Genomic DNA, 27009 nt, shown 5'->3' with positions numbered 1-27009 from the left:
ACTGGCAGATGTGATTCCTGCTGAGCTGGTGTAAAGCTTCCAACAACTGAATTGAAGGGTGGCATTAGCTTTAAATGCCCCAAACACCTGGGGCAGCTGCCAAGGTCCCCTGGATCTATCCTTGGGCATGCATTCCCTACAACCTGTCAGGCATGCGTTCAGTACCCTCGGAGACTAGTGGGATTGTATCCAAGAGCCTCTTGGCATACTGGACGTGTGGTACTTCTCTTCCACCTGGTGAGAAGGGGACAGGCAGGCACCAGTAGGCCAGCTTGCTAGCCTGTCAGTACAACCACGTATGGAATGCTAAAGCTTATTTTGGCATGGTTAGAATAGTTGGTGCCAAACTGACCTGCCAAGCAGATCTTCTGGGGCCTAATACAGATTTTAAATGCATACATTTAAAAAAGTTCAAAATGAGGAAAATGCTCAGACTAATTCCTGGATGAAGATACTATTTTGGAATCATTAGTTTCATTTGTTACATGACCTTTATGTGATGGGATTTGGTGGTGCTGATGGTGGTGGTGGTGGTGATGATGGTGATCGTGGTGGTGATTGTGTTGGTGGTAGTGGTAGTGGTGGTGGTGATGGTGGTGATGGTGATGATGGTGATAGTGGTGGTGGTGGTGGTGGTAATGGTGGTGGTGGTGGTGATGTGGTAGTGTGGTGGTGGTGGTGGTGGTGGTGGTGATGGTGGTGGTGGTGGTGATAGTGGTGGTGGTGGTGATGGTGGTGGTGGTAGTGATGGTGATGATGGTGATAGTGGTGATTGTGATGGTGGTGGTGGTAGTAGTGGTGATGGTAGTAGTGGTGATGGTGGTGGTGGTGGTAGTGTGGTGGTGGTGGTGATGTGGTGATGGTGGTAGTGGTGGTGTGTGTCTGTTTTCAACACTTCCCGAAAGAAATGTTTTATCCCTCCTTGACGTGCCCTGAGGAGGATATTTACTTCCAAGCAGACACAATATCCAAATTACAAGAGCCACTGAGATGTGATGCATGATTCAGAGACTGGGGTTTGGGGAGGGGAGCTGAAGTCACCCTGAGATCATCCAGAGAGTCTGAGAAGGAACTAAAACCTCAGTGCGCTCTAAGTTGGCCTGCTCCTCTGCATCAGCCTCAGGGATGATCTAAGACTACGGTAGATTTTCCATTGTATCACCAAAAGTGATTGATATTAGATTGATAGCAATTTGAACAAAAATTACCTTAAGAGATCATCTCATTTGCCCTCCTTGGTATGTAAGTAGGGAAACTGAGGATCAGAGAATTATCTAAGATCCCAGAACACTTTCTGTACAAATTGGGTCTTACACCCAGTGCTGACTTCACTGCAGCTGCATGGCTCAGGTTCTGTTGTATACAAAGCCACGTGAGGATCATGAAGAAGGGAAAGATGAGTTCCCTGGCATCAAGGAAAACCTGAACGTGTGCCTAGGTCCCACTCAACGTTTCCAGATGGGTTGGCCACAGACATAGTACCAGCCTTTTGTCTGTAATGAGGTCACTGACAGGTGATGTTGAATTGCCTGGTTTTAAAACACCACATACACAATGCTCTAATACAAACACGGTTGAAAAGGGAATATTCTACCAGGGTTTAGCTATTGTGAAAAAAAGTAGGAAGTTAAGGAGGACAGGAGTGGCCCTTTTTTCAAATCCCCATTTTAGTTAAGATGTGGCTTGGCAAACTGCTATAAGGCTAATTTCTTTCTGGTGTGTAAAAGATGTCCTATTGAGAGGTCATGCTTTTCTAAATGCACTTCAAAGTTGAGCCATTCCCTTGAAAAGACTCTTCCATACCTTTGTTTTTTAACCACCCTGCCTTCCTGCCTCCCCACCCCTCGTGTTTCTCTGCAGGTGTGCTTGTCAACACACAGCCAAAGAAGCTTAATTTGGTGCATTCTATTTCACTCAAAATATTTCACAGTCATTTTTTTGTCTTTTAATTGAGATAAAATTTGCCTACCATAAAATTCACCACTTAAAAGACCGTAAGTCGGGGGTTTTAGTATATTCACAGAAATGTGCAGCTATCATCACCATCTAATTCCAGAATATTTTCATCACCCAAAAAAAGAAACTCCATGCCTATTGTCGGTCACCCCCCATACCCCTCTCCCCAGTCTTCCCTACCACTCCAAGCCCAGGAAATCACTACTGTTTCTGTCTTTATGGGTTTGCCTATTCTGGACATTTCATATAAATGAAGGCATTCTATTTGTGGTCCTTTGTGTCTGGCTGGGCTTTTTTTTTTCTTAGCATATGTTTTCAAGGGTCATCCCTGTTGTAGCATGTATCAATACTTCATTCTGTTATGGTTGAATAATATGCCATTGTATGGATAGACCATGTTTTGTTTACTCATTCTTCTGTTGATGGATATTTGGGTAGTTTCCACTCTTTCACTCTTAAGAATAATGCTGCAGCTGGGCGCAGTGGTGCATGCCTGTAATCCCAGCACTTTGGGAGGCCAAGGCAGGAGGATCACTTGAGCCCAGGAGTTTGAGATCAGCCTGGATAACATAGGGAGGCCCGTGTCTCTACAAAAAATAATTTTTAAAAAAATTCACCAGGTGTGGTGTCACGTGCCTGTGGTCCCAGCTACTTGGGAGGCTGAGGTGGGAGAATCACTTGAGCCTGGGTGGTTGAGGCTGCAGTGAGCCATGATCCCATCACTGCAGCCCAGCCTGGGCAACAGAGCCAGACCCCATCTCAGAAAAAAAGGGTAACGCTGCTATAAATATGTGTCTGTCTGTGCGTGTGTTTTCCATTCATTTCGCCTAGGAGTGGAATTTCTGGGTCATATGGCAATTCTACGTTCATAGTCATTTTGATTTCCAGCTAACAATACACACACTCACTTTCAGATTTGCCCAGAAGGCCAAGATGGAATAGAGATCAGGCAAGCATGTTGTACTTATGTATTTATACAGAGTCTTAGAATCATAAGGTTTTAGAAACAGAGAGAACTTTAGAGATCTTCTGATATAACCCTCATCAGTTCACAAATGAGGAAACCACGGTCCCAATTAAGCAATGTTTCCAGGTCACTGCATCAGTTAGGACCGATGTTCAGCTGCAAGCAACAATGGCAATGGGTTATTTTTTCCTCTCACTTAAAAAATATAATGTAGTGGCACACAGCCCGGGCAGTGTAGCTTCACAACATCCTCAGTGTACCCGACTCTTCTCTTTCTGCTCTTCTGAACACCACCAGTGGCTACCACCCTCAAGTTCTCCTGCTGCAGGATGGCCACTGCAGCTCTGATCATGGTACCTGGTTCCAGGTAAGACAGGGGAAGAACTGGGTGGGTAAAAAGTCACCTTCCAGCTGAGACAGCCATCTCTGCAGATCTGTGCCACGATCCCCTCAATGACTTCTGCTTGCATTTCCTTGGCCCCACCTTTCCCACAAGCTGACTGAGCAAGATAATCTTTGAGCTGGGTACATGATCTCCCCAACAATTTAAAGGTTCTGTTAGGAAGCAGAGAATGGGCACTGGACAGGTAAGCAGCAGTTTCGTCTATAAACAGACAGTGGCTAAGAAGTGACACTAACCCACTCTCTTAGCACGTCCTCCAGTGCTCTTTGTAAATGTAAGATTGCAGTGTTTCATGCTCAAGGAGCCCTCATTTTCTAAAACAGCCAAAGACTAAATGAAAGATTTCTTGGTCTGAATTTCTGAATCAAAATGTTTACTCTCCTTACATTTAGGTCTTTCTAACCTTTTTTTTTTTTTTCTTTGAGATGGAGTCTCGCTCTTGTCATCCAGGCTGGAGTGCAATGGTGCGATCTCTGCTCACTGCAACCTCCGCCTCCCAGGTTCAAGCAATTCTCCTGCCTCAGCCTCCCAAGTGGCTGGGATTACAGGCACCCACCACCACGCCCAGCTAATTTTTTGTATTTTTAGTTGAGATGGGGTTTCACCATGTTGGCCAGGGTGGTCTCAAACTTTTGACATCAGGTGATCCACCCACCTCGGCCTCCCAAAGTGCTGGGATTACAGGCATGAGCCACCATGTCCAGCCCTTTCTAACTTTTAGTCAACTGATGACAACTTCCCAGAAGTTGTCAGGTACACTGAGGATGTTGTGAAGCTACACTGCCCAGGCTGTGTGCCACTACATTATATTTTTTAAGTGAAAAGAAAAAAGTTACCCTCCCAGAACTTTTAGGGAAATTCCTTTCTATGATAGACAATGAAATGTTTATATCGGGTTATGCACTGAGCTTTTCCAAAATAGATATGTTCACTGTGACTTGCATGACTGACCATTGAGGAAAAAGAACCAAGACTACTTCGGTGAATTGTGTGGGAAGAGGACGCACCTGGGTGCATACTGGTCATGCGCGGCCATGGGACTGCATGGTCTCTCAGAGGACGATGTCCAGGGAAAAACTGGCAGACAACAGGGACTAAGGCAAGTCTGAGGGCTGGAGGGAAAGTCAGCGCCACAGAACATGTTAGATGCCCATGTTCAGAAGTGGCTGAAAATCTGGAAGGACAGCTGAGAGAGGCGAGCCTTGAGGGGTTAAGACGGGAAGATACAAGCGTTCAGCAGGTCCGATCATTCAAAGATAAGTCTCTGAAGAGCAAACTATACCTAAGGGAGGCAGAATGTATAGAAGCATCCTTACGACTTCTGCTTTCGTGTGAACCTCTAGGTAGACAGGCATGATTTGAGGATCTTGGTTTGCAGGAAAGGGGAAAGGAATCCACATTTACCAAGTGACTGCTATGTGCTAGGCATGTTACCATCGTCCATAGCGTCTGGTGGAAAAAGAGCTCAACTATGTCATTTATTAACTTTGGGAGCTTTTAACAAGCTACTTCCTCTCTCTAAATCCCTCTATAAAATAGAGTTCTCTGTATCTGCTTGTACAGGGGATAAAATGATATTAAGATATGTAGTGATAAGAAAGTAATAATAGTCAGTATATGTTGAACACGTGCCGTTTGTTGCATGTTTATCTAATTTAATCCTCACAAGAATACTGTGTAGTTTGGGTGCTTCTGATTGTGCCTGAAATCAATTCAAAACTTGCTTACAAAAGCGGTAAGGGTGGGAAATCATTGGCTCATGTAATTGAAAAGTCCACGGGTAGTTCTTTCAGGTTCTGGGAGCCTCTAATGATGTCATCAGAACTTTCTCTTTCTTCATTACTCTCTTGGCTTTGTAGTCCTCAGTTTTGTCTTTATTCTTTGGCAAGATCTCCCCAGATGGTGGCAACTTTAGGCCTGTATCACCCTATTGCTAGAGAAAAATCCATAGCTGGGCATGGTGGCATGTACCTATAGTCCCAGCTGCTCAGGAGGCTGAGGCAAGAGGATCACTTGAGCCCAGGAGTTCGAGGCCAGCCTGGGCAACGTAGCAAGACCCTATCTCAAAAAAATAAATATAAAAAGACTGGCAAGGACTGTGTCAGGTACCCATCCCTGAATCAGTCCTGTGGTCAGGGGAAGAGGGACAGTGACTGACTAGCCTGGATACTGTGTCCTCCCCTGAGGTGGATAAGGAAGGGCCAAGTGATCAGTAGTCTCATAATTTAGGAAACTGATCCTGAAAGAACTTGGGCTTAGACTAAGAAACTTGCCCTAGAATCATTCAGTGGAGAACCTGGAGAGAAACCCAAGGTTTCTGACTCCAGAGTGCATGATCTTTGCAATATAACACCAAAAAATGATTACAGCCAGGGAAGAGGATAGCCAGAGTGGCCACTGAGGGTGAGGCTCACTCAGAGATAAGCAGTCTTCAGGGGTTCCATCTTGCCCACAGGCTTAAGGCTAAATTCAAGGCCCTTGGCTACCTGGCACACCCCCTTTACCTCTTTTTTTTTTTTTTTTTTTTTTTTTTGAGATGGATTCTCGCTCTTTTAGCCCAGCCTGGAGTGCAAGGGCACAATCTCTGCCCACTGCAACCTCTACCTCCCAGGTTCAAGTGAATCTCCTGCCTCGGCCTCCTGAGTAGCTGGGATTACAGGCACCTGCCACCACACCCAGCTGATTTTTGTATTTTTAGTAGAGACGGGGTTTCACCATATTGGCCAAACTGGTCTTGAACTCCTGACCTCCGGTGATCCGCCCTCCTCAGCTTCCCAAAGTGCCGAGATTACAGGCGTGAGCCACCGCGCTCAGCCCCTTTACCTCTTAATACTCTCTGAAAACTTTCTGTATGAATCCTGTTTTCCCACTGCAAATACCCTCCTTTCCCATCTCCCACCGTCATCTTTTCATATGCCATTCTCCCTCCCTAGAATAGCCCACTTCATTTCTTCCCAAATGCCTCTCAGCTCTTACAGTCATGTTAAGGCTCCAACATTTTCGAGAAATCTTTCTTTACTCTGATGCTTTACATGGCACATTCTTTCCTTTTTTATTAGAATAAGAGCACACGTCTAGGACCCAGGCAATTCCAGTTCTGGTCATGACATTTTCGCTTCAATTTTGGCTATTGTTTATTGCTTCCCTGCTAAGAGTATTTTTTAAATTCCATTTTTATCTCCACTATTGGTTTATTTGTGTTTATGATTTTAGTGGTTGCTGTAAGGATTTAAATACACATCTTTAATCTATCACAATCTACCTTCCAGTTATACTTTACCACTTCATGCATAGTGTGAGACCCTTACAATGGTGTACTTCCATTAACCCCTCCTGTCTTCCATGCTTTTATAGCCATACTTTATTTTCACATACAGTTGGCCCTTAAACAACATGGGTTTGACCAGTGAAGGTCCACGCATACAAAGATTTTCTTCCATCTCTGCTGCCCCTGAGACAGCAAGACCAACCCTCCTCTTCCTCCTCTTCCTTAGCCACTCAACGTGAAGATGATGAGCATGAAGGCATTTATGATGACCCACTTCCACCTAATGAAATATTAAGTGGAGGCTGGGCACCGTGGCTCACGCCTGTAATCCCAGCACTTTAGGAGGCCGAGGTGGGCAGATCACGAGGTCAGGAGGTCGAGACTATCCTGGCTAACACGGTGAAACCCTGTCTCTACTAAAAATACAAAAAATTAGCCGGGCGTGGTGGTGAGCGCCTGCAGTCCCAGCTACTAGAGAGGCTGAGGCAGGAGAATCGCTTGAACCTGGGAGGCAGAGGTTGCACTGAGCTGAGATTGTGCCACTGCACTCCAGCCTGGGTGACACAGCGAGACTCCATCTCAAAAAAAAAAAAAAAAAGAAAAAAGAAATAGTAAGTGGAAGTGGATCATCATAGAGGTCTTCATCCTCATACATAATGAATGAATATATTTTCTCTTCCTATTAATTTCTTATAACATTTTTTTCTCTAGCTTGCCTTATTGTAAGAATATAGTATATAATACATATAATACGCACAATATGTGTTAATCAACTGTTTATGTTACCAGAACAGCTTCTGGTCAACAGTAAGCTATGAGTATAGTATTACTGGGAGGTAGACTGTTAAGTTTTTGAGGATTCAAAAGTTATATATAGATTTTCAACTAGGGGTAGGGCAAGTGCCCCAACCCCCACGTTATTCAAGGGTCAACTGTATTTTGAAAATATACATTGTTATTGCTTTTGCTCTAAACGAGGGGTGTCCAATCTTTTGGCTTCCCTGGACCATATTGGAAGAAGAGTTGTCTTGGGCCACACATAAAATACACTAACACTAAAGATAGAGGGTGAGCTAAAAAAAAATTGCAAAAAAACCCTCAAAATGTTTTAAGAAAGTTTATGAATTTGTGTTGGACCACATTCAAAGCCATCCATGAGTCATGGATTGGACAAGCTTGCTTTAAACAGTTATCATTTTAAAGATTAAAAACTAAGAAAAACACGTTCATCCACACATTTAAATTCCAGGTCTCCTCATTTGTTTGGGAGGATCCACATTTCCTTCCCCCTACAGAACCGAACTTCCTTTAACATCTCTTGATGTGCAAGTCAGCTGGCAATAAGTCTCTCAGCTTTTGTTGGGCTTTAAAGGCCTTTATTTTTGGGCAGATAGCTTGAGCTCAGGAGTTCAAGACAGCCTAGGCAACACGGCGAAACTCTGTCTCTACTAAAAATACAAAAATTATCTGGGCAGCCGGGCATGGTGGCTCAACACCTGTAATCCCAGCACTTTGGGAGGCCGAGGTGGGTGGATCACTTGAGGTCAGGAGTTTGAGACCAGCCTGGCCAACATGGTGAAACCCCATCTCTACTAAAAATACAGAAATTAGCCGGGCGTGGTGGTGGACACCCATAATCCCAGCTACTCAGGAGGCTGAGGTGGGAGAATCGCTTGAGCCTGAGAGGTGGAGGTTGCAGTGAGCCGAGATCGTGCCACTGAACTCCAGCCTGGGTGACAGAGTGAGACCCTGTCTCAAAAAAAAAAAAAATTATCTGGCCGTGGTGATGGTTCCTATAATCCCAGCTACTCAGGTGGCTGAGGCAGGAGAATCACTTGAACCCGGGAGGCAGAGGCTGCGGTGAGTCGAGATTGTGCCATTGCGCTCTAGCCTAGGTGACAGAGTAAAACCCTGTCTCAAAAAAAAAAAAAAAAAAAGCCTTTATTTTGCCTCATTTTTGAAAGATATTTTCACTGGATATAGATTTTTAGGTTGGCAACTTGTTCTCTGTCAGATATTCATAAAATAACATTGTCTCCTGACTTGTGCTGTATGAGATGAGCAGTCACTAGTCATTATTAATTTTGTTTGCCTTTATGTAATATTTTATTTTTCTGTCTGGCTGCTTTGAATGTTATCTTGTTCTCACTATTTTCCGGCAGTCTTAATATGATGTACATTGGTGTAATTTCCTCTGCATTTATTCTACTTGGGGATCACGGAGCTTCTTGAATCTCTGAGTTTTCAAGTTTATAAAATTTTCTACCATAAATTTTAAAAATATTTTTGTGGGTTCCCAACTTATTCTGAGATTTCAATTACATGTATTATGTATGTATTTTTTATTGTGTCTCACAGTTTGCTGTCAATCTGTTCATTTTTTGGTCAGTCTTTTTCCTCTCTGTGCTTCAAAGGTTCTCCTTCAAGTTCACAGACCTTTTCTGCAATGTCTAATCTGCTGTTAATCTTATATGGGTATTTTACATCCAGACATATTTTTAATCTTTAGAAGTTCTATTTAGGTCTTGAAAATGTTCCATTTCTTGCCTCTTCATGTTTTCCTCTGCCTTCTTGAATGTATGGAGCACCTTTATACCAGCTCCTTTATAGTCCTGATTTCATCATCTGTGTCATCTCTAGGTATATTTCTATTGAATTTTTTTTTCCTGGTTATGGGCCATATTTTCCAGTTGTTTTGCAACTTTCATTTGGATACCAGATGTTGTGAATTTTATGTTGGTGAGTGCTGGGTTGTGTTGTAGTCCTTTAAGCATTGTTGGATATTGTTCTGGCACTCAATTACATTACGTGGAATCAGTTGGGTCCTTTTGAAATTTGCTTTTAAGCTTTGCTAGAACAGGTCCAAAGTAGATTTTGTTCTAGGCATAATTTACGCCATTTATTTATTTTATTTATTTATTTATTTATTTAGAGATGGAGTCTTATTCTGTTGCCCAGGCTGGAGTACAGCGGCACGATATCGGCTCACTACAACCTCTGCCTCCCAGGTTCAAGTGATTCTCCTGCCTCAGTCTCCTGAGTAGCTGGGATTACAGGCATGCGCCACCTTGCCCTGCTAATTTTTGTATTTTTAGTAGAGACAGGGTTTCACCATGTTGGTCAGGCTGGTCTCGAACTCTTGACCTCGTGATCCACCCACCTCGGCCTCCCAAAGTGCTGGGATTACGGGCGTGAGCCACCGCACCTGGCCATTTACGCCCCTTATTAAGGAAATGCCCCATACATGATGAGGTGTTTCCATTCTGGCCTGTGTGAGCAGTGGGAATTGTTTGGTCTACTGCTTTCCAGCTGCTCTTCCCCTATTCTCACAGTTTCTTATCTTGCCTCTGCATATCAGTTGTCAGCTGAAGACCCAAGAGGACCTCTCTGCTGACCTCCAAGCTCTCTCTGTGAAGTTTCTTCCACTTCTGTATTCTGCTCTGTGTTTCTAGCTAACTCGAGTTCTCAGAATTCTAACTTGGACTTTGAATTCTGATTTCTGTATTTTCAACTCAATGAGACCACCAAACTCTGTCTGGGTTTCTCCCTCCCTGCACTGCAGCATGGAAAATACCTCCAGATAGTAAACTGGGGAAATTATATGGCTACCTCATTTGTTTCCCTTTTCTCTGGAGTCACTGTCATTCATTGCCTGATGTCCAATGTCTGCTGTCTTCCACCTATCCCGAAATTGGGTCATTTCTAAAGTCTCCTGAGTCTCATAGTTCCTACTGTCATGTTTCTATCTCATCATCCTTTTGCTTCAACAAATATCTGCTGAGTACCTACTATGTGCCTGACACAGTGCTAAGGATACGAATGTGGATAAACACGCTCCAGCCTCCAGGGGTTCCAAGCCAGCGGGGGAGAGAGACAGAAGCTCAGGTAAGCACAGGCAGCCTGCGCACGCACTGTGCACAGAAAACTCACTCATGTTGGCTGGAAATCAGGGTCACTTTCATACAGGAAGCAACATGGACATCCCCTAAACTAGCAAGTCTAATGGAATTCACATATTAATAAGAATCCGGGTTCTTGTAGGTGGATGGACTCAAACCATGGTTCTTGAAACAGCCAAGATGTGTTATTACTGAAAATGCAGCTGGATAATGAGGGCTGTCTCCTTCATGGAGCTCATGCTTCTCTCTGTCATCATTAGCCTGGCCTCCTTTCTTGTTTGTTTGTTTTCCTCTTCCCCTAGCAATGTTGACAGGTCTCTCTCTGGGAGGAAGACAGTATGGCTGTTGCCTGGTGTTGATCCCTAGCTCTTCCTCCCACAGGAGACACCAGATTAGAGCTTTCCATTCCTCTGCTGAAAGAGGAGGCTGCCAGGAGCCTTTCTGCATTCTTGACCTGTGACGTCCAGCCCCAGTCTTTGGCCATCCCATCCCCTGGGCAGGCTCGCAGGCTGGCACACAGACTGGCATCTCACACAATCATGCCCCTTTGTTTGGATTTTCTCATAAAAAGCCAAGCGGTTGATGTGTGTGCTGGCAGGAAAGAGGGCAGGCTGCCATCCGCCTGGCTTCACCCACAGCCGTCTCTGGGGGCAGACCCCCTTTAGAGGCCACCAGTGCTTCTGTCCTGCTTCTAGTCATCAGAACAGTTTTTGTTTTTTAAGTGTTGAACCCTGTATTCAATTATTCCAGGGTTCAGCTGGAAATTTTAAAAAGCCATAGAAGATGCAGTTATCTTTGGAACTTGCAGTCTTTCCTCAGTCCCTGCTGCTACAGCTTCCTCCAGGACCACAGGCTCCAAAGTGACCCCGAGACCAGGAGGTGGGAGAAAGAGGGGTGTGACCTAAAGAAGGCCTTCCCCTAGGGCAGTCCCACTAATGACCACGCAGAGGAGGATCCTGTTAAGGAGAAGCACAGCCTGAGGGTGGTGACTGAGGGAGCAGGAGGAGGAGGATGGAGAGTCCAGGAGAGAAGGGATGAGCAGGTTCCCAGCAGCCTCTCAGCCCTGCCCTCTGAGTGCCCTCTCATCACTACGCCAGCTTCCTTGGCTCATGCCTAGGCCCTGAGGAAACTCACTGCAGGGTCAGCCCTACTTCTGGCCTCTAGGGGTTCACTGACACCTCCATTCTTCATCCAAGTAAGGATGTAAGACAGTCCCATAAGATGAGGTTAGAGGCCGGGCCCAGTGGCTCACACTGAAATCCCAGCACTTTGGGAGGCTGAGGCGGGCAGATCACTTGAGGTCAGAAGTTCAAGACCAGTCTGGCCAACATGGCAAAACCCCATCTCTACCAAAAAATACAAAAATTAGCCGGGCCTGGTGGAGCACGCCTGTAGTTCCAACTACTCGGGAGGCTGAGGCACGAGAATCACTTGAACCTGGGAGAGGGAGGTTGCAGTGAGCTGAGATTGCATAGTACTACTGCACTTCAGCCTGGGTGAAAAAGTGAGACCCTGTTTAAAAAAAAAATTAATAAATTTAAAGAAGTAAGGTTAGAACAGCCCTGGAAGAATTGAGAGATTCTAAATCCTGGAAGCAAAGGACTTCCAAGCCACAGGATTCTTATCCTAGCTCAGCCTCCTACAGACTGGCACAGCTGGTCCTGTCACAGGCTTCCCCTCCTGCTTCCTCTTCCCTTCCTCAGCACTGTCTGGGTTGGGTGCAAGCAGGGGGTCTCAGTCGTGAGACCACAGCGGACCTGGGGTGAAGGCGCTTCTGGGCATGGGCCTCCTCCTTTCTCTCATTCCTGGACATAGCCCAAGGATGGACCTCGGCCTTCGGGTCCTGTATTGCTCCCTCAGTTATCTCTGGGCCACCGGTGATGGAGACACTTCCTCATGTAGACATTCAGCATTGTCTTTGGGGTGTTCCATCACCTTCAGTAGATCCTGGGGGTCTCTGTGGCCCTGGTCTGGGGCTCCTCACTGGCCTCATCCCGCTTCTCCTGATCCTGCTCAGGTTTCCTCGGGCAGAGCTGCTTGCCTGTGACAGTTCCAGCCTTCACTGAACTCCTCTGTCTGCCCCAGCAGCAGGGGCTACAGCCTGAGCCTGATTATGCTGGAGGTTATAGGGACTCAGTGGGCCACATCAGCTCCTGGGAACACATGCACCCCCAGCAGCACAGCCCTAACCTCATTAACTTATCTTAGAACCACTCATAAGTCTCTAGTTCCTCTGAGTGGTTTCTTTAGCTTATAGCTCATGCTCCCAGCAATAAACAAAAAGAGCTCGTTTGCTAAAGGTTCTGTGTGATTCTTGGAGCATCAAGCAGCTCTGCCCCCGGGGCCCAAATGATAAGCAGGCGTCACTCCACTCACATGCCCTGTGACTTGGCAAGCTCCTTAACCTCTCTGGGCTTTAGTTTCTTTATCTGTGAAATAGAAATTTCATCTGTGAAATAGTAACGATCATTATGATTCATAAGGTTAAATCCAAAAGAGTACCTAGAACAGTGCCTGGTGTATAGCAGTTCTTGACATTGTTGGTTATCATCGTTGTCATTGCTGAAGCCATTCAAGGCAGTGCAGAAGAATTCTCACCTCTTAGACAGAGTGCCCCGTAAAGCAAGCACCCTTGGGAGCCGTGGCTGGTGCCCAGGTCAGAGAGCAGGAAAGTGGGAATTCCATGTGGTAACTGAGTGAGGGGGAGTCATGAGTCACACTCTGGGGACTCTCCAAAGTACTAGGTTGAATCATATGAAATTGCTGGGGCTTTTGGAGAAAACCATAGGTTTCTATTAGTGTGGCCCCACTTGCAGTCTCAAGCAGAGGAGACTGGGAAAATACGGATTTCTCAGGTCTCCCACTCTTCCTACTTCTTCCGGGTTCTCCTGATGATTCATCTGCAGGGCGGAGCTTCTGAGTCTACACCCGGCTCCTCTAACCCTCAAGTGCCTACTCATCACCTGGGGATCTAGTTAAATGCAGATTCTGGCTTAGTTGGTCTAGGGCGGGGCCAGAGATTCTACATTTCCACCAAGTTCCCAGCTGATGCCGCTGCTGCCTGATCGTGCTGCGAGGAGCAGAGCTCTAGCATGTCGTCAGCAGGCCTTTGACTCATCCTAGCTCCAGAGATCCCAGAAGTCGCCCTTTCCCTTGCAGCCCCGGTAAATTAAAAACAGAATGAAACAAAGCTGCAGCAGGGCAGCAGCATCTGTGTCAAATTCCCCCACCCCACCTGTCTGGAGAGTTTCATAGGTGACACTTTTCGCTGCAGGCCCATTAAGCCTATTAAAAGGGATCTTTTTCCCTTTCCTTTCTTCACTGACCATTTGTTCAACAGATATTTACTGAGCACCCACCATTGACAGATACTACACTAAGAAGAGAGATTCCAATCTATGCTTTGTACTGCAGCCAGGGTGATTATCAGAATTGAAAACCTGATCCTGTTATTTCACTTCTTAAACTCTCATTTCCCTGAAGTATAAAGTGCAAGTGTCCTAATACAATGCTGAATACCCTCTGAAAGCAGACTTCTACCCTGATTGACAGTCACCCTACCTCTAGCCCTACCCAGTACCTGAAAGCTTCCCCTGCTCCCTGCTGACCAGCCCCCAAGCTTGGGCTCCTGCTCTCTCTCTCTCTCTCTCTCTCTCTCTACCTCACTCTTCCGAGCCTGCCCTTGCCACCTCATCCATCACTCATCCTTTTCAAGATAAAGCTCCCCACCACGCCGTTCAGGGAGTCTTCTCGGAACCGAGGTGGATTTCCTAAGCCCCCTTGGTTCTGACAACTTTACATAGAAATTCTGTCAGTTCCTTTCTCCACAAAACTTTAAGTTTCTCAGACATAGAGAAATGTCTCAGTCATTTCCCCATCAGCCAGTTTTGGCGGAGCTGCATTTCGGTCTAAGCGCTATGCTGCCTGGTAGGAATTCCTTCTTGCCTGCAAGTTTTCCCGTCTCAGAGGTTCATGGCCCCGACCTGCTTCCAGTCATTAGTGTTGGCTCCCAAGCAGCTGGCAAAGGGCTGGGTCACAGATTGCTGAGGGATGGAAAAGGATCCAGGGCAAATGTGCGTCATCCGTGGTATGCAATGTTTTACAGCTCAGCTATGGAGACAGAATCAGTAACAGCCCATCAGGAAAGGGTGAGGAGAATACCAAGGAAGCAAGAGAAGGACAGGAGGAAGGGTCACTGATGTCTCCCGAGAACCACGGTACCCTTAGAAATGCAGTGTGCTGGGGAACCTTAGATACACTCCCACCCTGAAATTCTCTCAACTGTGGATATAATGAGATGAAAAGGGAATCCAAACTCTTTGCAGCTTCTAAAACGAGTCCCATCTTGCTTCGCCTAATGTTTGGAAGGGCTAATCTTCCCTAATTTGGCAGCTGTTGCAACCATTTCACTTTCGTGTCACTGAATTGCTAAAAATCTTTCTTTTCTTTGACACAGAGTCTTGCTCTGTCGCCCAGGCTGGAGTGCAGTGTTGTGATCTCAGCTCACTGCAACCTCCACCTCCCGGGTTCAAGTGATTCTCCTGCCTCAGCCTCCCAAGTAGCTAGTAGCATGTGCCACCACGCCCAGCTAAATTTTGCATTTTTAGTAGAGATGGGATTTCACCACATTGGCCAGGCTGGTCTTGAACTCCTGACCCCAGGTGATCCACCCATCTTGGCCTCCCAAAGTGCTAGGATTACAGGCATGAGCCACTGTGCCCAGCCAAACCTTCTTTCTTTTATGAGAGAAGAGTTTGAGAAAATATTTGACTTTTTTGTTCTTCTCTTGAAATCCCAACCTCTGTTACAAATCACACACATACACACACACACACACACACACGCACCCAAGCACACACACAGCAACACTAAACAAAGACATTTTTCTTTTTTTAATTTTATTTAAGAGTAAGGGTCTCACTCTGTCATCCAGGCTGGAGTGCCGTGGTGCCATCACAGTTCACTGCAGCCTCAATCTCCTGGGCTCAAGTGATCCTCCTCCTGTCTCAGCCTCCCAAGTAGCTGGGACTACAGGTATGCACCACCACACCTAGCTAATTTAAAAAAAAAATTGTAGAGACAGGGTCTCCCTATGTTTCCCAGGCTGGTCTTGAATTCCTGGGCTCAAGCAATCCTCCCACCTTGCCCTCCCAGTGTTGGGATTACAGGTGTGAGCCACCATGCCTGGCTCCTAAGACATTTCTCTAGGTTATAAAATGGAACCAGCAAAATTGTAACATAATGAAGACTTGAAGTCATCGACTTTGAAGTGCAAACATATAAACTTCCATGAAACCATCTCTCCAGGGTCATGATCAAGAAGAAATATGTGCAGTGTGTTCTGGTGTCGAGAGGGGCAGGGAAGGGAGACTATTAAACCTACTTTTGATGTTTTGGTATTGCATTGCTTTTGTAATTCAAATGCCTGAAAGGAAGAATGATCTTTTAATCCCACTGGCAACAGTGGAGAGACGTGTGTCCTTCAGCATCTCCAGGCATATTTGACATCTGCCTCATCCACTGGCCTGTCATCTCTTTGGCTCCTGAGCTCTTTGCCTTGTTCCCCCGACCCTTGGCCCCCATTACAAACACGTTGGCAGTCACTCTATCTGGGTAAAGCCAATGGCACATTAGAAGGCAGTTCTGATTTTGAAGAGGGTGCTAACATGGCATTAGAGTATTTTAGTCCATTCAGGCTGCTATAACAAAATACCCTAGGCTGAGTGACTTATAAACAACAGAAATTCACTTCTTATGGTTCTGGAGGCTGGAAGTCTGAGATCAGGGTGCCAGCATGGTCGGGTCCTGGTGAGGGCGCTCTTCTAGGTTGCAGATGGCCACCTTCTCCTTGTGTCCTCACATGGTAGAAAGACCCGGAAAAGAGAGTTCCCAGGTTTCTGTTTTATAAAGACACTAATCCCATTTATGAGGGTTCCACCCCCATGATCTAATCACCTTCCAAAGACCCTATCTCCTAAGACTATCACTTTGGAGGTTAGGATTTAAACATATGTATTTCGGGGGGATACAACATTCAGTCTATAACATAGAGTGATGGCTTGCAAAGGAAAATCTGGTGATGATGGGAAGGACAGACAAGAAGGGCCAGGAACTGAAATCAGGGAGACTAACTGGTTCAATCAGTTTTCTAGGTCATGTGTGAATCATCGTGGTGGCTGCGCTGGGCTAGCACATTCAGCATATGCTTCATTAACACAACACATTTTCTTAAGACTCCCACGGTGGCCAACTTAAGGAAAAAAGTGAAACCCAATAGTCTGAAGCTCATAGTGTGCATAGCAGACATGACGCAATGTGGAGTGAAAGCTGCCTAAGGAAAGAATTGAACACAATGTTGTAATCCCCATAGGGCCTAAACACTGGCAGTATGGGAAGACTGGCTGGTGCTTCTCTCCTTCCTCTATATGTCACCAAGCAAGAACCTCTGGACTAGCCTCTAAGTTAGGGGACAGGGCAGGAATGGATTTGTGGACTCCCAAATCTGATTAAAATAAGAGCCAGAGGCGGGTCATGGTGGCTCACGCCTGTAATCCCAGCACTTTGGGAGGCCAAGGCAGGTGGATCACCTGAGGTCAGGAGTTCGAGACCACCCTGGCCAACATGGTGAAACCCCTTCCCTACTAAAAACACAAAAATTAGCTGGGCTTGGTAGCAGGTGCCTGTAATCCCAGCTATTTGGAAGGCTGAGGCAGGAGAATTGCTTGAACCCAGGAGGCAGAGGTTGCAGCAAGCCAAAATCCCACCATTGCACTCTAACTGGGCAACAAGAGCAAGGCTCCATCAAAAAAAAAGGCCGGGCACGGTGGCTCATGCCTGTAATCCCAGCACTTTGGGCTACTAAAAATACAAAATTAGCCAGGCATGGTGGCACATGCCTGTAATCCCAGCTACTCAGGAGGCTGAGGCAGGAGAATCACTTGAACCTGGGAGGCGGAGGTTGTGGTGAGCCAAGATCGCAACACTACACTCCAGCCTGGGGAACAAGAGCAACACTCCATCTCAGAAAAGAAAAAAAAAAAAAAAGAAAGAAAGAAAAGAAATAAGAGCCAGAGTCAAGGTCAAGCCATTGTCAGGCAGACCATGGAGAAGACAGTGCAGCCTGTAGTCCAGACGTTATCCAGAGACTCCAGGGCCTAGGAACTACGACTGCATCTTTGGTAATCTCTGGGTCCCTGGAGGGCTTGCCAGCCTCGACTCCAGCCTTGGAAGTTATGTTAGCACCGCCAGCCACGGTGGCAAGTCTGGAGTTGCTGAGGTGTCAGCTAGGCTCTTCAAATTTGATCTAGACCCTATTTGGAGGGTGGGTGTGCCTGAAGATGTATATTTTACTCCCTTTTCTCCTCACGCTCACTTTAAAATCTACCCACATATTTACCATTTCCAGTGATCTTTGCTATTTTGTGTAGATCTGAGTTTTACTCTGGTTTCATTTTTCTTTAGCCTGAAGAAGTTCCTTTAACATTTATTGTAGTAAGATCTGCTGGCGATAAATTAAGTCATGATTATCTTCAAACGTCTATTTCACCTTCCTTTTTGAAGACCATTGTGACTGGATTGAGACTTTTAGGTGGGCTTGATTTCAGCATTTCTAGATGTTGATTCATTGCCCCCTTGTTTGCCGGGTCTGTGGTAAGAATTCAGCAGACATTCATAGCCTGATTTTACCACTAGTTTTCATCAATATGGCTATGAGTATGTTGCCTTGATGTAGTTTGTTGCTGTTGTTTTCTGTCTATCCTGCTAGGCTTTGTTGAGATTTTTGGACCTATGAATTGATATTTATCATCAAAACTGGAAAAAATTTTAGCCACAGTTTTTTCATACATTTTCTGCCTCTCTCTCTTGGGATTCTAATTATATGTATGGTTGAGATTGTCTCATAGAGAACTGAAAGTATGTTCATTTTTAAAAGTCTCTTTCCTCTTTCTGTCTTTCAATTTGATCATTTATATTTTCATGTCTTTAACTTCACTTTTCTCCAGTGTCCAGTACTCTGTTAGGACCATCTAGCAAAATTTTCATTTCAGATATTGTGTTTTCAGCTCTAGAATTTTTTTTTTTTTTTTTTTTTTTTTTTTAAGATGGAGTCTCACTCACTCTGTTGCCCAGGCTGGAGTACAGTAGCATAATCTCGGCTCACTGCAACCTTCACCTCCTGAGTTCAAGTGATTCTTCTGCCTCAGCCTCCTGAGTAGCTGGGATTACAGGCGTGTGCCACCACGCCTGGCTAATTTTTGTATTTTTAGTAGAGATGGGGTTTCCCCATGTTGGCCAGGCTGGTCTTGAACTCCTGACCTCAAGTGATCCACCAGCCTGGGCCTCCCAAAGTGCTATAATTACAGGTGTGAGCCACTGCGCCCGGTCTCAGCTCTAGAATTTTCATCTTTTTTATTTTTAGTTGAGATATAATTAACATACCATAATATTGATTATTTTTATGTCTACCATTTATCTCCTCATTGTGTTCAAGTTTTACTTTGAATTCTTTAGTATATTTATGTTAGCTGTTTAAAAATTTTTGTCTGATAATTACATTTTTCCCCCATCATTTCTGGTTGTTTTTCTACTGACTTGATTTTTCTCCTGATTATGGGTCAGATTTTCCTACTTTTTGGCATGTCTAGCATCTTTGGATTGAATGGTGGACGTTTTGAATGTTTCATTGTTGAACATCTGAATGTTGTTGTCTTCTTTTAACGAGCATTGAACTTGGTTCTTGCAGGCAGTTAATTTACTGCACGCATAGTTTTATCAGTATGATCCTTCTGTGGCTCATTTTTAAGCTCTGCTAGAGTGGATCTACCGTCATCTCTATGCTAGCACTACTTTACTTACATTCTTGAGGGCTGATCTCTCTGTGGTTTCTAATGAATGTCCTGGGTGTTCATTAAGATAGCCCCACGTAACTGCCAGAGCTCAAATGTCTGCAGCATTGTGCAAGCTACAACTACCCAGGAGCTGCTCTTTCCCTCGTAGTTGTTCTTTGCACAGCTTGTAGAATCTCACCTGGACATCACAACCTAGCATTCAGCCAAAATCTTCAAGGGTACTATGCATATTTATGGAGCTATTTATTTGCATATCTCTAAAAACTCAACCCCCTCAGCCTTCAAACACCTGTTTCTGTCTCCTCAGCTCAACAAGACTGCTGTGCTCCACTTGGATTCCTTTTCTCTGTACATGGCTTAGAAAGTTCCTCAGGCAGAATGGTGGAGTGATTGCAGGCTCACCTCATTGTTTCCCTTCTTCAGAGATTACAGTCATTATGTTTCTATTTTCCGAAGACCAAAACCAGTTGTTTCATGTATTTTGTCCAGTTCTCTAGTCATTTATAGTCGATCTGGTTTCTCCTTCTCCTCCTTTTTTGAGACAGGGTCTTGCTCTGTCACCCAGGCTGGAGTGCAGTGGTGCAATCACAGTTCACTGCAGTCTCAACCTCCCAGGCTCAAGCAATTCTCCCACATCAGACTCCCAAGTAGCTGGAACTATAGGCATGCATTAGCATGCCTAATTTTTGTATTTTTTGTAGAGACAGGGTTTCAGTATGTTGCCCAGGCTGAGCTCAACCAATCCATGCACCTCAGCCTCTCAAAGTACCAGGATTACAGGTGTGAGCCGCACCCAGCCTGTATCAGTTACTCCTATACACCCTTCTTAATAAGGCCTTTTTTGGGGTTATTGTAAAAATAAATAGCACACTGGTTCTGGAAAAGGTTTTCCTTGCTTTTGAAAAATCAGTGGGGCCAGGCGCAGTGGCTCACGCCTGTAATCCAACACTTTGGGAGGCTGAGGTGGGTGGATCACCTAGGTCAGGAGTTTAAGACCAGCCTAACCAACATGGTGAAACCCCATCTCTACTAATACAAAAATTAGCAGGCATGGTGGTGCGTGCCTGTAATCCCAGTTACTCGGGAGGCCCAGGCAGGAGAATCGCTTGAACCCAGGAGGCGGAGGTTGCAGTGAGCCGAGATCACACCATTGCACTCCAGCCTGAGCAACAAGAGCAAAACTCCATCTCGAAAAGAACAAAAAAGACCCAGCACTTTGGGAGGCCGAGGCGGGCGGATCACGAGGTCAGGAGATCGAGACCATCCTGGCTAACACGGTGAAACCCCGTCTCTATTAAAAATACAAAAAATTAGCCGGGCGTGGTGGCGGGCGCCCGTAGTCCCAGCTACTCGGGAGGCTGAGGCAGGAGAATGGCGTGAACCTGGGAGGCGGAGCTTGCAGTGAGCAGAGATCGCGCCACTGCACTCCAGCCTGGGCGACAGACCCAGACTCCGTCTCAAAAAAAAAAAAAAAGAAAGAAAGAAAAATCACTTTTTTGGACAAATAGGACAAAAAGAAATAGTGCCTTTTCTGCCTTTGGAAACTTACGATGCCAGGAACTGTTGCTGCAGTTTTTTCTCTCTGTCATTTCTGTGTGTCCATTTGGTACCATGTGGGGTAGGGGGGGTGCTGCTGTCTAAGAGAGCAAGTCCATATGCTGAGAATGGCAGAGTAAACAGATACAAAACAACTGGGTCCGGGGGAGCATCAGTGAGATGGTGTGGTAACCAGCCCTGAAGCTGCATGAAGTCTACACCAGCGATTCTCAAACTGTTTGGTCTCAGGACCCCTTTACACTCTTAAAATTACTGAGGACCCCAAGAAGCTTTTGTTTATATGGGTTATATCTATCAGTATTTATTATGTTATTAATTGAAACCAAGAGAAATTTTAAATATATATTTATTAATCCATTAAAAATAAACCAATTTAATAATAAATATATTTTTGTGAAAAAATTGTATCTTTCTAAAACAAGAAATAACTTAGCGACAAGTGGCATTGTTTGACATTTTTGCAAATCTCATTAATGTCTGGCTTAATACAACACAGCTGGATTCTCATGTCTGCTCTTGTTTATTTTTATTTTTTCCTTTGTCAAGATGGGGACAAGGCTGGTTTCAAACTCCTGGCTTCAAACGCCCACTTCAGCCTTCCAAAGCACTGGAATCACAGATCTGAGCCACAGGGCCCAGCCTCATGTCTGTTCTTGTATTCGATCTGTTTTGGTATGTTGGTTTGGTTGAAGTATATTAAAAAAAAAAAATCTAATTTCACCCAGATATGTCGTAGCAAAATGAGCAGTATTTTTATGTCTTTCCAGGTCATTGTAGATATTCTTTGTTGATACTACACTAAGAATGTAACAAGTGGTAGCTCCTTAAAGGTCATTTGCAATGTGGAGTCTGAAATTATCTCCAAAAATGATTTATACACTATGGCAGAGATCAGCAATTTTTTTTCTGGAAAGGGCCAGATAGTAAATATTTTCCACTTTGTGGGCCATACAGTCTCTATCACAACTGCTGGACTCTGCTGGTGTGGCACAAAAGCAGCCACAGACAATGCATGAACAAATGAGTGTAGCTGTGTGCCAATAAAACTTTATTCACAACACATTTGGTAATAAAGTTTTTTGTAAATAAACACTGACTTCTGCTCTGTTACATTAAAGTTCATCTGCAACTTGCACATGGAATGGATGATTTTGACCATGTAGTGCCTTGAAAGGGTTTCAGGGACTTCCAGGCATCACTAGACCATGTTTTGACAACTACCACCATAATGTTTTTGTTGTATGAGATCACAAGTCCCTTATTATTAAAGTCACTTTCAGTTGGGTTTTCTGTTACTTACAGCCAAACACATCATAGCTGATAAACTAGGAGTACCTTCACAAGCCAGAAATCTGCATACTGGTTTCTATCTTGGATCCTGGGAAATGGTAAACCCAACCACATTGACACCCACCAATTTGATGTGCCAGCGGTAGAGTAGAAATAGCAAGACACATGTTTAGGCTCAAAGGTACCAGGGCAGCCTCATGGAGCCTCACTGGGTTCCAGGACATTGTGGGAGAGATTTGAAGAGTTTTCCCTATTTTCACTTGGAAGAGCACAGAGGTAGCTGAGAGAAGGCCAGGAGAACCAAAGATACCTCATTATCTAGACAATGGGAGAAAGCAGGGTATGTCAGCATGGAATTTATTATGGAAGACTCTAGGGGAATGTGGGCATCTCATCAGGGGCCAGCACGGATTGATGGCAGTGAAGAAGGAATGCAACCTCCCTCCCCTGCCATTACTCTGGCATCACACACACCTTCCCTAACTTCACGTCAACCTCAGATAGACAGAGAAGTTGACTAAGGGTCTCCTGGATTGATAAAGATTAACCAACATTGACTAAGTTGAAGTTGTTGCTGCCAAACAGAAGAAGCCTCTTGAGTTAGAAATTAAGGTCAATTTTAGGAAAGCTTTAAAATTTTTTATACACCTGTATTTATGTACTAAACATTCATATTGTCCAACAATAGATGTCATCAAATTAAAAAATTTTGCCAACTTGATGAAAAATGATATCTTATCCTTTAATTTATATTTCTTAATTATCAGTGAGGATGAGCATCATTTATATTATCGAGGGCATTTATTTTTAAATCCACCATAGTGATTTTGAACCCAGTGTGATTAATTTTTGTAGTTTAGGATATAGTACTATTGAATCTGCAGACCCACCTATGTGTGCAGACACGGTGCTGCCACTTCCACCTGCAAAGTGAGTAGTTTACAGATTGGCAAGCACTGAATAGGCCACCCAGGAGACATATTCCTTAATTCCAGTTGACCTTCTTCCCTTCCTGTATGGTAACACAGTCTATCAGGGAAGTTACACTCCGTTTTCATATGCGCATCGGCCTGCCCAAGCCTCCTGCTCACGTGGTTGGCTGGTTCCTGGAAACAAAGCCAAGGCACTAGGTGCAGTGGCATCCTAGTGTCACTTCCAGCATTTCTCTTCTACTTCCCAAGGTGAGATAAAATCAACACATACTTCTTTGAATCTAGACACCATGTGAACAGAAGCAATAATTCTTAATGTTGTGCTATTTCTTTTATTTATTAAGACAGCCTCAGTTTGCTGGCCAGCAGAGGTAATACCCACTTATAAATTCCTTTCATTAAAAACCAAAATGGACACAGGGTAAAGAAAGCTACATCAAACCCCACCACTCTAACACAACTGTTAGTTTCATTTTTTATATCAACACCTAGTCCTCACTCAACTACATAGATATTTTACATACTTACAATGCTGTATCATTAACTAAGGATCTCCCCCCGAGCATTGAACATCAGTCTGCTATATTTAGTCTACAAACATTATAATTTATAAAAATAACAATATTTTGGTACCAGTACCATGCTGTTTTGGTTACTGTAGCCTTGTAGTATAGTTTGAAGTCAGGTAGCATGATACCTCCAGCTTTGTTCTTTTGGCTTAGGACTGACTTGGCGATGCGGGCTCTTTTTTTGGTGTTGGAACAGAACAGAGCCCTCAGAAATAATGCCGCATATCTACAACTATCTGATCTTTGACAAACCTGAGAAAAATAAGCAATGGGGAAAGGATTCCCTATTTAATAAATGGTGCTGGGAAAACTGGCTAGCCATATGTAGAAAGCTGAAACTGGATCCCTTCCTTACACCTTCTACAAAAATTAATTCAAGATGGATTAAAGAATTAAACGTTAGACCTAAAACCATAAAAACCCTAGAAGAAAACCTAGGTATTACCATTCAGGACATACGCATGGGCAAGGACTTCATGTCTAAAACACCAAAAGCAATGGCAACAAAAGCCGAAATTGACAAATGGGATCTAATTAAACTAAAGAGCTTCTGCACAGCAAAAGGAACTACCATCAGAGTGAACAGGCAACCTACAAAATGGGAGAAAATTTTCGCAACCTACTCATCTGACAAAGCACTAATATCCAGAATCTACAATGAACTCAAACAAATTTACAAGAAAGAAACAAACAACCCCATCAAAAAGTGGGCGAAGGACATGAACGGACACTTCTCAAAAGAAGACATTTATGCAGCCAAAAAACACATGAAAACATGCTCACCATCACTGGTCATCAGAGAAATGCAAATCAAAACCACTATGAGATACCATCTCACACCAGTTAGAATGGCAATCATTAAAAAGTCAGGAAACAACAGGTGCTGGAGAGGATGTGGAGAAATAGGAACACTTTTACACTGTTGGTGGGACTGTAAACTAGTCCAACCATTGTGGAAGTCAGTGTGGCGACTCCTCAGAGATCTAGAACTAGAAATACCATTTGACCCAGCCATCCCATTGATGGGTATATACCCAAAGGACTATAAATCATGCTGCTATAAAGACACATGCACATGTATGTTTATTGCGGCACTATTCACAATAGCAAAGACTTGGAACCAACCCAAATGTCCAACAACGATAGACTGGATTAAGAAAATGTGGCACATATACACCATGGAATACTATGCAGCCATAAAAAATGATGAGTTCATGTCCTTTGTAGGGACATGGATGAAATTGGAAATCATCGTTCTCAGTAAACTATCGCAAGGACAAAAAACCAAACACCACATGTTCTCTCATAGGTGGGAATTGAACAATGAGAACACATGGACACAGGAAGGGGAACATCACACTCTGGGGACTGTTGTGGGGTCGGGGGAGGGGGGAGGGATAGCATTAGGAGATATACCTAATGCTAAAAAAAATATATATATATATAGTGGATTTGTGTAATCCTTGGTCCTTGGCTACTGTGGAATTCAACCATCATCACGTTTCTATTTTCTTTTCTTTTTTTTTTGAGATGGAGTTTCACTCTTGTTGCCCAGGCTGGGGTGCAGGGGCATAATCTCGGCTCACCGCAACCTCCACCTCCTGGGTTCAAGCGATACTCCTACCTCAGCCTCCCGAGTAGCCAGGATTATAGGTGTGTGCCACCACGCCCAGCTAATTTTGTATTTTTAGTAGAGACGGGGTTTCTCCCTGTTGGTCAGGCTGGTCTCAAACTCCCGACCTCAGGTGATCTGCCTGCCTCAGCCTCCCAAAGTGCTGGGATTACAGGCCTAAGCTATCACACCCAGCCCACATTTCTATTTTCTAATTTATTTATACTTTCATTTATTCAACAAATATTTATGGGGCTAGGCACCAGGGGTGCAAATATAAATAAAGACACTGTTCCTGCCCTTATGGGTCTTACAGTCTAGGATGAGAAATAGACATCATCATCTAATTTTTATGCCTTTATTTATTTGAGTTATGTATTCATAATATATTTTCACGAGCATCAAAATACAGAATACCTATTTTTTTCATGCTAATTATGAGCAAGTAGCCACATATGTGTTTTGGTTGGTTGCATTACTTTCTCAAGGCTACAAAAGCAGGACCATGCAGGATCTAGAAGACTTGCTGTCCATTTTTGCGGTATAATCTCTAGATGGCACATGCTCCCACTTCTGGCCACAGGATGGGTTGTCAGATAAAACATTCTTTCGAATGAGAAAAACAATTAAGCATTGAAAATGTGAGAACAAGAAAACATAAGATAAAAATAGAATTCGCCAGCCTGTTTTATGAAATATCTGTTTAACTCGTTGAATTTAAAGGTAGCAGTTTACCATATTCCATCCTGTCTGGACTGTACTACATTTAGGATGAGAAGTCAGCAAAGTAGTAGTAACTAGCTGTATCACTTATTCTAGTTTTGAACTCTAGGCCATTTGTGAAGAAAACCGGAAAACTGCTTCATGTTTCAAGCCTAGAATCAATCATTAACCCGTTTGGAAAAACTTCAAAAATTTATTTTTAAAAAGCCTTATAACCTACAAGTTGAAAGAATAGCACAGCCAGTCTCTGCATACCCTTCCTCTGCCTTCAGTAGTTTTTAACATTTTGCCCATTTTGCCACGTTTGTGTGTAAGCTTTTTTTTTTTTTTTGCTGAATTATTTGAAAGTAGATTGCAGACATCACGACGCTTCACCCTAAATGTTTCAGCACGCACCTCCTGGGGACAAAGGCATTCTCTGATGTAACCACAGTGGCAGCACCACACCCGAAAAATGTATCACTGGTATTCAATAGGGCCACCTCATATCCAGCCACTAGCTGTGGCACCCTGGGATTATGTCAGCCCTGCCCTGCTGCTTGGGCACTGAGCCCTGTCCCTGCCCTGTCCCTGCCCCATCCAGAACTAATAGTGTGACTTGGTGCACCATCATGTCCAGAGACGGAGCCTGCTGCCTTCACCCACCAGCTCAAACCGCTAGATCCAGTGTCTTCCCGATGAATATCTGTGTCTGCCCTTCCCCATCCCTGGGGGCCAGCACCACAGCTAGTGTAGTCGGCTGCCTCTTGATGGCGACCTACGCCACGCTGCAGCTGACCATGGATATTTGAAAGGGGCAAGTGAAGATGTTAATCATTGAGATGGCTTGGATTTGTGTCCCTGCCCGAATCTCCTGTTGAATTGTAATCCTCAGTGTTGGACGAGGGGCCCTGTGGGAGGTGACTGGATCATGGGGGCAGATGGTGACTGGATCATGGGGGCAGATGTCCCCCTTGCTGTTCTTGTGTTGGCGAGTGAGTTCTC

The 27009-nt window shown here is 44.5% G+C and overlaps 4 annotated features.

Annotated features, from left to right (window-relative positions):
- Positions 12587-13786: an enhancer, noted in NCBI's record as "P300/CBP strongly-dependent group 1 enhancer chr6:3209282-3210481 (GRCh37/hg19 assembly coordinates)". NCBI's record gives its function as "activates an origin of replication core promoter dependent on BRD2, BRD4, P300/CBP, MED14 and CDK7 cofactors, with strong dependence on P300/CBP, by STARR-seq in HCT116 cells {active_cell/tissue: HCT116}" and the evidence as "EXISTENCE:reporter gene assay evidence [ECO:0000049][PMID:35650434]".
- Positions 13255-13344: an enhancer, noted in NCBI's record as "active region_23885". NCBI's record gives its function as "activates an Ori minimal core promoter by ATAC-STARR-seq in GM12878 lymphoblastoid cells {active_cell/tissue: GM12878}" and the evidence as "EXISTENCE:reporter gene assay evidence [ECO:0000049][PMID:35858748]".
- Positions 13345-13639: an enhancer, noted in NCBI's record as "tiled region #8505; K562 Activating DNase unmatched - State 1:Tss, and HepG2 Activating DNase unmatched - State 4:PromP". NCBI's record gives its function as "activates a minimal TATA promoter and a strong SV40 promoter by Sharpr-MPRA in K562 cells, with weaker activation in HepG2 cells {active_cell/tissue: HepG2 | K562}" and the evidence as "EXISTENCE:reporter gene assay evidence [ECO:0000049][PMID:27701403]".
- Positions 26226-26779: an enhancer, noted in NCBI's record as "H3K27ac-H3K4me1 hESC enhancer chr6:3196289-3196842 (GRCh37/hg19 assembly coordinates)". NCBI's record gives its function as "activates a minimal SCP1, AML or CMV promoter by ChIP-STARR-seq in naive H9 embryonic stem cells {active_cell/tissue: H9 hESC(naive)}" and the evidence as "EXISTENCE:reporter gene assay evidence [ECO:0000049][PMID:30033119]".

This window comes from Homo sapiens, chromosome 6 (assembly GCF_000001405.40).
Source record: "Homo sapiens chromosome 6, GRCh38.p14 Primary Assembly".
NCBI lineage: Eukaryota > Metazoa > Chordata > Mammalia > Primates > Hominidae > Homo > Homo sapiens.
Note: the sequence above shows the minus strand (reverse complement) of the source record. Positions and strands in the feature narration are given on the sequence as shown.